Genomic DNA, 12,189 nt, shown 5'->3' on the forward strand with positions numbered 1-12,189 from the left:
TCTATATGAGGAAGTACATAAATTAAGACTTTGATAGACCTGGGTTTGATTCCTTCCTCTGGCATGGAGAAGTTTTGTGCTCTTGAATAAATTAGCTAACCTTTTCAAGCCTTCATTGTTCAGAGTAAAAGGGGGGGGAGTCACTGCAACAGTAGAAGGATTAAATGAGATGATGTATGTGATTTATCCAGCAAAATGCATAGCACAAAGTAGACATTCAATAAAGATTTTGTCACCTCCCTACTTCTTTCTCTCCTTTCATCCCCCTTTTATAACCAGTTTTCTGTACAGATTACAAGATTCCTCATGACAGAAATGGCATCTTAGTCATTACAAGATAACTTTCATCTTTTTTTTTTTTTTTTTTTTTTTTTTTTAAGGCAGAGTCTCACTCTGTCGCCCAGGCTGGAGTGCAATGGTGCAATCTCGGCTCACTGCAACCTCCGCCTGCTGTGTTGAAGCAATTCTCCTGCCTCAGCCTTCTGAGTAGCTGGGATTACAGGCGCCTGCCACCGCACCTGGCTCATTTTTGTATTTTTAGTAGAGAAGGGGTATTACCATGTTGGCCAGGCTGGTCTTGAACTCCTGACTTCAGGTGATCCACCCGCCTTGGCCTCCCAAAGTGCTGAGATTACAGGCTTAAGCCACTGTGCCCAGCCAACTTTTATCTTTTTATCTATTTTTTTTAGATGGACTCTCGCTCTGTCATCCAGGCTGGAGTGCAGTGGCACAATCTTGGCTCACTGCAACCTCTGCCTCCCGAGCTCAAGCACTTCTCCTGCCTCAGCCTCCTGAGTAGCTGGGATTATAGGCAGCTGCCACCACACTCAGCTAATTTTGTATTTTTAGTAGAGACGGGGTTTCTCCATGTTGGTCAGGCTGACCTCGAACTCCTGACATCAGGTGATCCACCTGCCTTGGCCTCCCAATGTGCTGGGATTACAGGCGTGAGCCACCGCGCCCGGCCACTTTTATCTTTTTAAAAGTAATACATACCCTTGTTAGTTAAAGATTTCAAATGGTAAAAAATAAGCAGCTGCCTCATTCCTCCCCACATGGAGAAAATTATGTCTAATTCTTAATAGCTTGGGATTTTAATTATTTTGGTGTCATTATCTAAATTTGTCTAAAAGTGTATGATATAATTTGGATATTTGTCCCCATCCAAATCTCATGTTTAAATGTAACCCCCAATACTGGAGAGGGGGCCTGGTGGGAGGTGTTTGGGTCATGAGGGCAGATTCCTCACAGCTCGGTGGTGTCTTGGTGACCGTGAGTTCTCATGATATCTGGTCATTTAAAAGTGTGTGGCACTTCCCCTTCCCCCTCATACTTAGGTGGGGAGTTATGCTCTACCTCTTTATCTGCATAAATTATTTGAAATTCTCCTGCATGGGAGATTTTTCTCTTTTCTCTTCCTTATTTATTTATTCAATTATTTATTTATAACAGCATGTATCATAAATATTTATTTTATACTCTGGGTTATAATCTAATACTACTTCATTTATTTTGTTGCTGGAATTATTCCAGCTTTGACCATTAGGGGTTTTTTAAGTCAGATCCTTTGATCTTTTTGAATACCTTCAACATTATGGGTTTATTTATTTATTTATTTATTTATTTGGGGGCATTATTTTTTACTTTCTGGCACTATAAAATACTTCAGGCTTACCTTGTATGTTTCCTTTCCCAATCCTAGAATCGGACATTTCTCCAAGAAGACCCAGTTACTTTTACTAGAAAGTGGTATTAGAAACCAAGATCTGAGCACTAGATGTGTTTGTCGCTAACAGAATATTGTTGCATCTAGGGCCTCTCGGCTGGCAGAGCAAACAATAGATGTGTATATACCAACTCATATATACATATATCTCTTAATATTTGTATATGTAACATTGGTATCCATATTAAGCAAAACCTGAGTTCAGATGGATGTTTTCAGCTCTAATATATTACACAAATTATTCTAGCTGCTTCTTTTTCTTATATGTAAACTCACACTCCAAGAGTGAGAATCCTGGCTCATAGCATCCCACATCCACTTACTTGATTGTTCATTTCCAATATACATGTATCATGACATTGAAATTGTTAACTGGTGCCCTCATGAGAATAACTTTATCAACTAGAGTTCAGTGCTTGTGTAGTTTCTTTTACCTTTAGTCTTACAGACTCCAGGCTGGGCGCGGTGGCTCACCCCTGTAATCCCAGCACTGTGGGAGCCTGAAGTGGGCAGATCATGGGGTCAGGAGTTCGAGATCAGCCTGGCCAATATGGTGAAACCCCGTCTCTACTAAAAAATACAAAAATTAGCCAAGTGTGGTGGCGCATTCCTGTAATCCCAGCTACTTGGGAGGCTGAGGCAGGAGAATCGCTGGAACCAGGAGGCAGAGGTTGCAGTGAGCTGAGATTGCACCACTGCACACTCCAACCTGGGCGACAGAGTGAGATTCCATCTCGGAAAAAAAAAAAAAAAAAAAAAAGTCTTATAGACTCCATACATTTCCAATACAATTTCGGTCAGTATCCCACCCCTTCTTTCAGTGAGGTTGTTTCACACATTTATAATAGATTGTTTTGTCACATTCCACATTCATTCTGGGATCCCTCAATCTTATAATTGTTTTTGAAGATTTCATTATCATCCTTTCTGACAACATCTACTGACTTTCTTTCCTCTCTGCTATCAAATTTTATTTTCCAAGAGTTACTTTGCTCTCTGAATGTCTTATATTTTATACCATCTTGTTCTTTTTTCATAAATGCTACTTAGTTGTTAGCAATCTGTATGAATGAAAATCCTCTCTCTGGGGATATTAATGAGAATTTTTGTGAAGCCTTCTCTCTGTTTAGTCATTTTTCTCTAAGTATTTTGTATAGTTTTTTCTTGCCTGTATGTTCCACATTAGAAATTTTCCTCAGATTCTGGTAATCTTTGTCTGACTGTCCATGATTCAGGGTGTGGGAATCCAATTTCTGATTGGAATCTTTGAGGGTATGAGTAGGTCTTGTTAAGGCTGAGTTTCCTTGTAGGACAATTTGGCTGGGCGACTCTCGGGGGAACCCCAAATATTACATTAAGTCTTTCCACTTCTGCTGATTCTCTAGAGAGATATCTTCTAATCTTATGTCTGAAGAGTAGGGCCTATCTGCTAGGAATCAGGTAGCCCACACATTTTCAGGCTGGCACTCACACCCTCAATTATGACATGGCTTCCCTCTCAGTTGAGTCTCTGTTTAAACTTTCTAGACTTATGCCGTTGTGTTGAAAGGGAATTGACTCAGTGACACGAATAGAATCTAGGGAGGGGGATACAATTGTTTTTTAGTTTTATTTTATTTATTACTTTACTTTTATATAGAGATGGGATCTCGCTATGTTGCCCAGGCTGATCTCAAACTCATGAGCCTAAGCAACCTCCTGCTTCAGCCTCCCAAAGCACTGGAATTTACGATGTGAGCCACCATTCCCAGCTTCCAATTGCTTTTTTTAAATCTTCCAGTCAATTTTTCTTATTTTGGCTCCCCATCCCCCTTAATCTCCTGTTCCAGAGGTATCTGAAACTGCTGATTTCTGAGACTTTTGGCAATTTAGAAGTGAAGATGTGGTCAGTTTTCAGCTTTCCTCATTTCTTTCTTGGGTCTGCAAGGCTCTTTAGTTAACACTCATATGACTGCTTTCCTGACTTCCCAAATTTTGTGCTGTTATATTATCTTCATTTCTTTTTGGGTATATATCTTTAAAAGCATATCTATATCTGTCTGTCTATCTGTCCCTTTACAGTGATTTTATAGTGGTTTCTGATGGGAGCAAAGTTAGATTGTTCCATTGAACCCACTGTTCATCTTTTTCCAAATCTTGTTTATAAATTTTTATCTCCCTGATATAATTTTAGTGACTTTGGGAGGAAGAAGATAGAGATATATATATGTATATATATATACACACACACACACATCTTTATATTGGAATCTCTGAAGGCATGAGTGCGTCTTGCTAAGGCTGGGTGGGTCTTGTTAAGGCATACATATATATATATATATATATACACACACACACATATATGTAGCTGGTATATAGACATATATTTTTATGCCAGATCTAGGTTGTCATATTATTCATTTTCACAGTCTTTTTTTTTTTTTTTTTGAGATGGAGTCTCACTCTGTTGCCCAGTCTGGAGTGCAGTGGCATGATCTCGGCTCACTGCAAACTCTGCCTCCTGGATTCAAGCAATTCTCCTGCCTCAGCCTCCCGAGCAGCTGGGACTACAGGTGCATGTCACCACGCCCAACTAATTTTTATATTTTAGTAGAGACTGAGTTTTACCATATTGGTTAGACTGGTCTCAAACTCCTGACCTCAGGTGATCCATCCGCCTCAGTCTCTCAAAGTGCTGGGATTATAGGCATGAGCCACCATGCCTGGACCATTTTCAAAGTCTTAAAATGCATTCTGGATACCAACTACTCAATAAATATTAGTTAAATTAAAATATATAGAAATCAGAAAATCTTCATTTTGTTGTGCCTTAAGGGTGATTGAACACTCATAGTATACCAAAGATATTATGCACCATGACCCAAATGTAACTCTCTCTCTGGTGACTTTCCGCTTTTCCAACTAAGTTAAGAATGTAGAGAATCTTCATAAATAGTGCCTTTGTCAAGAAATAACTAAAATCATAGCAGAACTGAAGGAAATAGAGACACAAAAAACCCTTCAAAAAATTAATGAATCCAGGAGCTGGTTTTTTGAAAGGATCAACAAAATTGATAGACCACTAGCAAGATTAATAAAGAAGAAAAGAGAGAAGAATCAAATAGACGCAATAAAAAATGATAAAGGGGATATCACCACCGATCCCACAGAAATACAAACTACCATCAGAGAATACTACAAACACCTCTACATAAATAAACTAGAAAATCTAGAAGAAATGGATAAATTCCTCGACACATACACCCTCCCAAGACTAAACCAGGAAGAAGTTGAATCTCTGAATAGACCAATAACAGGCTCTGAAATTGTGGCAATAGTCAATAGCTTACCAACCAAAAAGAGTCCAGGACCAGATGGATTCACAGCCGAATTCTACCAGAGGTACAAGGAGGAATTGGTACCATTCCTTCTGAAACTATTCCAATCAATAGAAAAAGAGGGAATCCTCCCTAACTCATTTTATGAGGCCAGCATCAACCTGATACCAAAGCCGGGCAGAGACACAACCAAAAAAGAGAATTTTAGACCAATATCCCTGATGAACATTGATGCAAAAATCCTCAATAAAATACTGGCAAACCGAATCCAGCAGCACATCAAAAAGCTTATCCACCATGATCAAGTGGGCTTCATCCCTGGGATGCAAGGCTGGTTCAATATACGCAAATCAATAAATGTAATCCAGCATATAAACAGAACCAAAGACAAAAAACACATGATTATCTCAACAGATGCAGAAAAGGCCTTTGACAAAATTCAACAACCCTTCATGCTAAAAACTCTCAATAAATTAGGTATTGATGGGACGTATCTCAAAATAATAAGAGCTATCTATGACAAACCCACAGCCAATATCATACTGAATGGGCAAAAACTGGAAGCATTCCCTTTGAAAACTGGCACAAGACAGGGATGCCCTCTCTCACCACTCCTATTCAACATAGTGTTGGAAGTTCTGGCCAGGGCAATCAGGCAGAAGAAGGAAATAAAGGGTATTCAATTAGGAAAAGAGGAAGTCAAATTGTCCCTGTTTGCAGATGACATGATTGTATATCTAGAAAACCCCATTGTCTCAGCCCAAAATCTCCTTAAGCTGATAAGCAACTTCAGCAAAGTCTCAGGATACAAAATCAATGTGCAAAAATAACAAGCATTCTTATACACCAATAACAGACAAACAGAGACCCAAATCATGAGTGAACTCCCATTCACAATTGCTACAAAGAGAATAAAATACCTAGGAATCCAACTTACAAGGGATGTGAAGGACCTCTTTAAGGAGAACTACAAACCACTGCTCAAGGAAATAAAAGAGGATACAAACAAATGGAAGAACATTCCATGCCCATGGGTAGGAAGAATCAATATCGTGAAAATGGCCATACTGCCCAAGGTAATTTATAGATTCAATGCCATCCCCATCAAGCTACCAATGACTTTCTTCACAGAATTGGAAAAAGCTACTTTAAAGTTCATACGGAACCAAAAAAGAGCCCGCATTGCCAAGTCAATCCTAAGCCAAAAGAACAAAGCTGGAGGCATCACGCTACCTGACTTCAAACTATACTACAAGGCTACAGTAACCAAAACAGCATGGTACTGGTACCAAAACAGAGATATAGATCAATGGAACAGAACAGAGCCCTCAAAAATAATGCCGCATATCTACAACAATCTGATCTTTGACAAACCTGAGAAAAACAAGCAATGGGGAAAGGATTCCCTATTTAATAAATGGTGCTGGGAAAACTGGCTAGTCATATGTAGAAAGCTGAAACTGGATCCCTTCCTTACACCTTATACAAAAATCAATTCAAGATGGATTAAAGACTTAAACGTTAGACCTAAAACCATAAAAACCCTAGAAGAAAACCTAGGCATTACCATTCAGGACATAGGCATGGGCAAGGACTTCATGTCTAAAACACCAAAAGCAATGGCAACAAAAGCCAAAATTGACAAATGGGATCTAATTAAACTAAAGAGCTTCTGCACAGCAAAAGAAACTACCATCAGAGTGAACAGGCAACTTACAAAATGGGAGAAAATTTTCTCAACCTACTCATCTGACAAAGGGCTAATATCCAGAATCTACAATTAACTCAAATAAATTTACAAGAAAAAAACAAACAACCCCATCAAAAAGTGGGCGAAGGACATGAACAGACACTTCTCAAAAGAAGACATTTATGCAGCCAAAAAACACATGAAAAAATGCTCACCATCACTGGCCATCAGAGAAATGCAAATCAAAACCACAATGAGATACCATCTCACACCAGTTAGAATGGCAATCATTAAAAAGTCAGGAAACAAAAGGTGCTGGAGAGGATGTGGAGAAATAGGAACACTTTTACACTGTTGGTGGGACTGTAAATTAGTTCAACTATTGTGGAAGTCAGTGTGGCGATTCCTCAGGGATCTAGAACTAGAAATACCATTTGACCCAGCCATCCCATTACTGGGTATATACCCAAAGGACTATAAATCATGCTGCTATAAAGACACATGCACACGTATGTTTATTGCAGCTCTATTCACAATAGCAAAGACTTGGAACCAACCCAAATGTCCAACAATGATAGACTGGATTAAGAAAAAGTGGCACATATACACCATGGAATACTATGCAGCCGTAAAAAATGATGAGTTCATGTCCTTTGTAGGGACATGGATGAAATTGGAAATCATCATTCTCAGTAAACTATTGCAAGAACAAAAAACCAAACACCGCATATTCTCACTCATAGGTGGGAATTGAACAATGAGAACACATGGACACAGGAAGGGGAACATCACACTCTGGGGACTGTTGTGGGGTGGGCGGAGCGGGGAGGGATAGCATATAGGAGATATACCTAGTGCTAAATGACGAGTTAATGGGTGCAGCACACCAGCATGGCACATGTATACATATGTAACTAACCTGCACATTGTGCACATATACTCTAAAACTTAAAGTATAAAAATAATTAAAAATAAAATAAAAATAAATAAATAAATAAATAAATAAATAAATAAATAAATAGTGCCTTTGTTTTCACTTCTAAATAAGCCTCCAGGGAAGTACAGCCAGACGCATTTATCATGACATGTAAATCAGCAATATTAAAATTGGTGTTGTTGTTACCAATTAAAATTGGTGGTGCTGTTACCACTTGAAGTATTAGAAGAGCGGGGTTCAGCTGGGGTCCCTGCTGGTGCCAGTATGGTTCTGCTTTAACAGATGAAGATGTTAATAATTAACTTCATCAATGAGTACACATTCATGCAGCATTGGTCCTTCATTCTAAATGCATTTGGCTAATGTTGATTATGAGGCTGAATGTTCTTAGACAAATGCTTTTGCTTTGGTATATGATGAGTTAAACAGGATTAAAACTGTCTGCTTGTCTCTTATAAAAGGTAGCTTTCTACGTTATTTAAATATAATTTGTTCATGTGGTAACATAATGCTAGATGAACAACTAGGTTTCATTTCTGGGCTTTATTACTTCCAAAGTATAAGACTCTTGTCTAATCCTTGTAGCTTCTCCAATGCTCTGACTCCTCATTTATATAATTGAGTTGCTATCACTCATACTGGCTCACTAATAGTGGAGATAATACCTACCTGTGTTGAAGTCAGGATAAAGCGAGTTTATGAAGAATACATCCTGTTAGGCCCCTTCCTTTTTCAGTTTGTAAAGTATTATAAAATATAAAGGAACACTATTTTGAAATAATTTTTAACACTATATTAAGGCAGGACATATTGGACTAAAAGGTCTACTGTTGACAATCTATTAAAAAAAAAAAAGCAGAAGCAGCGACTCCTGTGTCCTTTGCCTCTTGAGTAGTTTGTGGATTACAAACAATGTACTGATTAGATCTTATGGATGTACTGGTTCTACTTCTAAACATTCTGGCTTTTCTTTTGCTTTCTACTGAAGAAAAGGAAATAGTTGAGATCTAGACATAATATAGGTTCTGATCTTCCAAAGCTCTCTATTTTACTTGGCTTCCTTCTTGACTCTGAAGTTAAATATAAGTTTCAAGATCTCACTCTTCATCTTATTGAATTATTTTGTAAACAATACAATCAAGTTTAGGAGGTTCATCTACACTTGTCTGTCTAAACATTCAAACCGCTCCATGGTGCCAGCATTTTTTCTTATAGACTTCTCTATAATGCCAAGGGCTCTTGGTCATCCTAGCAAAATGTCATTCATTGCTTTGTAGAAGACAACCTGAGTCTGTGCTTTGGTTGTTTGTTCTGGGCTTGGATTCCTGACACTGAAAAGGTTTAACACATACCATCGGTGGCAGTCAATTGGAAGACAGACAAACACAAAGCCATTCTCAAGGATTCTTCCTTTATTTCTGAAATACCTTTTGACTAGTGGAAAGGGGGTTGATCCTTTCCTTTTGTTTCTTTTAGTATGCTCACAGTGATGTAGAAAAGGAAAGAGAGACCATTGCCTCCAGAGGGTTTTTTTCTTTTCTCTCTCTTTTCTTCCACATGAAAGACTTCATTGTTCTACCTCAAATTTACTGCAAGCCCTGGGGAAAGTTGCAAAAGATCAAGAAAGAGAGAATGATTACTGGGGCACTTGGCAGAGTGGCAGGCTCTTGCTACACAGAAATACAATGATCTGTGAAAGTGGATCCCTGTTATATTTTAACAGTCTAATGGGGCTTGCTTTATCATTAGTGCCATTAGGACTGCTTGTACTGATTTAATCAGGAATGAAGGCTTTAAGCTGACTTTATATACCCACAATGCAACAGTTAGTTGGCAGCTGTGATTAGATTTAATTAGTCTAAGTGGAAAATGCGGCACTTTTTTCACCTCTTTTCCTACCCGATCTCCTACCTACAGTTTTATTTCTGGAACTTTTTCTCAAAGAATTGTTTTTGCTCCCCACTCCCCTTCCTCATTTCTTAGTTCTGGGGAATAAAGATGCAAATAAACACGTGAAGTCAAATGAGACTATGCACTTGGATACTCAGTATTGGTTCTTGCATTTTTTTTTGTTTTGATTTTTTTTCTTGGTTTTTGTTTTTGTATTCCTAAAGCACATGTAATCTGTGGTGCCTTTGTGGAGTTGTATGTTGACAATATTTCCCAAGTTAGGAATTTCAACATATGAGATTGTGACTATAAATCTGCAAAGAGGCTTAGGAGAAAAAAGGTATGATAGAGCCAGGGCTGCTGGTGGTAGTGGTGGTGGTGGTGGTTGTGTAGTGACCAGGAAAAGCTATTAGTTAATTAATTTGTTAGCATGCTATTATGAAGAACAGTGAATTATTAATTTGAGTAAGACTGCATTGTTTTTTTTTTTTTTTTGAGACAGAGTCTTGCTCTGCAGCCCAGGCTGGAGTGCAATGGCATGATCTCGGCTCACTGTGACATCTGCCTCCTGGGTTCAAGCGATTCTCCTGCCTCAGCCTCCCGAGTAGCTGGGATTACAGGCACCTGCCACCACACCCGGCTAAATTTTCTATTTTTAGTAGAGACGGGGTTTCATCATGTTGGCCAGGCTGGTCTCGAACTCCCGACCTCAGGTGATCCACCTGCCTCGGCCTCCCAAAGTGCTGGGATTACAAGCGTGAGCTACCGTGTATAGCTGCATTGTCTTAAGACTCTGTAATTACACACATGATAAACATCCAAATTGAATGGTAAAAATCTAGAGCTGTTTTGTGGGGATTTGACATGACTCTCATTTACTGGTGAGAGGCTGTGCTGGATTCATAGATTTGGGAACCCCTAGCAAGTGCTAGCAAAAATTCTGAGAGGGAATGAAGTCATGTAGAATAGGTGATGAGGAAGAACAATGGGTCAGGTCTGGAACTCTGTGGGATCCCAATATTTAATGATAAAATGAAGGAAAAGTATATGTGAGGAAACAAAATCAAAAAGGTTTGAAAATAAACCAATGGAATATATGGAAGTTTTGGAGTAAATATTTAAAAGTTCACGTAGACCAATTACCCAAGTGATTCCCCAAGGCAGTACCAGTCTGATCCTTCTGGGGTGGGGTGAAGATTTCCAGCAAGAAGGGAGCAGTGATGCTCCTCCTCAGGGGATGTTAAGCACCCACCACTCCTCTTTGGTGGAAGTAATCATGACATGTAGGGCTTAAAAGTAGTTCATTATTGGCCAGGAGCAGTGGCTCACGCCTGTAATCCCAGCACTTTGGGAGGCTGATGTGGGCAATCACAAGGTCAATAGATCGAGACCATCCTGGCCAGCGCAGTGAAACCCAGTCTCTACTAAAAATACAAAAATTTGGTAGGTGTGGTGGGGCATGCCTGTAGTCCCAGCCACTTGGGAGGCTGAGGCAGGAGAATTGCTTGAACCTGGGAGGCGGAGGTTGCAGTGAGCCATGATCACACTACTGCACTCCAGCCTGGCGACAGAGCTAGACTCCCTCTCAAAAAAAAAAAAAAGTAGTTCATTATTGTCAGAAGGCTGAGGCCCAAGTTGAAAGTGGAGTTAATACTGGTACACATTACTGATGCCAAATTAATTTTTTAGTAGATATGTTTCCAGTAGAAAGAAAATAGATAAGAAAAATAAACCAATAGGAGAATATGGAATCTGGTTCTAATTCTCCAGTTCCATTTTTAGACTTTTATTACATTATATTTTGACCCATTTTTATAAATATACACGAGTACACACCACACAAGCCTTGTACTTTTTGCAAAGTAAATATTACAATTTCTGATCTATTTCTATGGCAGATATTTTTGATGGTGTTACATGAGAATAGAGTAGTTACCAATGACCTTAGCCATCTTGGCAAAATATCTGGAAAAGTCAGCTGCAAGTTTGGTTTCTTGTTTATTTTTTCAGTCTTTATAGTATTTCAGTCATTTTTTTTTCTCTCAAGCTATTTTCTAGTTTCTGACCAATGCCCAAATGTGAGTCCCTGTGAATTCAATGGGCCATGTTTATAGAAAAATATTAGTTCTAAGTTTTCATTTTTCGGAAGAGACTTATATAAAATTGACATTGAAATGAAAAACAAACTAGTCTTTTTTTTTGTATGAAAACTTCAAAGTAAAACATTTCTAATTTTTTTATTTAGGTAATAAAAACGTTAGTCTCAGATAAGAGAAATTCTTTGCACTGCACTTGAAAACAGGTGAGGGAAAAGAGAAAATTAGGTCCTTCAAGGCACTTTATCCAATAGTGGCAGAATGGAATTCGCCAGTATAGGACGGAACATTGAACAGAGAGCATGAAATCTGTTCCTTTCCTTACTAATGAAGTAATCTTGGGAAGATATTCTAACTCTAGAGGGCTGCATTTTCTCATTTGTTAAATGATTGGGTTATACTAGCTACTTTTGTTATTGTTCACTCCAGTTCCTATGTCGTACAATTCCAGATAAGATTCATTACTTGGCATCCAATAATCTATACCATAGGTGCTCAGTTAATCAACATCCATTTAACCAATCCACTAGAGT

General features: G+C 38.7%; 1 annotated feature.

Moving 5' to 3' along the window:
- Positions 8,764-9,535: an enhancer, noted in NCBI's record as "OCT4-NANOG hESC enhancer chr9:75069728-75070499 (GRCh37/hg19 assembly coordinates)". NCBI's record gives its function as "activates a minimal SCP1, AML or CMV promoter by ChIP-STARR-seq in naive H9 embryonic stem cells {active_cell/tissue: H9 hESC(naive)}" and the evidence as "EXISTENCE:reporter gene assay evidence [ECO:0000049][PMID:30033119]".

The sequence above is a fragment of the Homo sapiens genome, chromosome 9 (genome assembly GCF_000001405.40).
Source record: "Homo sapiens chromosome 9, GRCh38.p14 Primary Assembly".
NCBI classification, from domain to species: domain Eukaryota; kingdom Metazoa; phylum Chordata; class Mammalia; order Primates; family Hominidae; genus Homo; species Homo sapiens.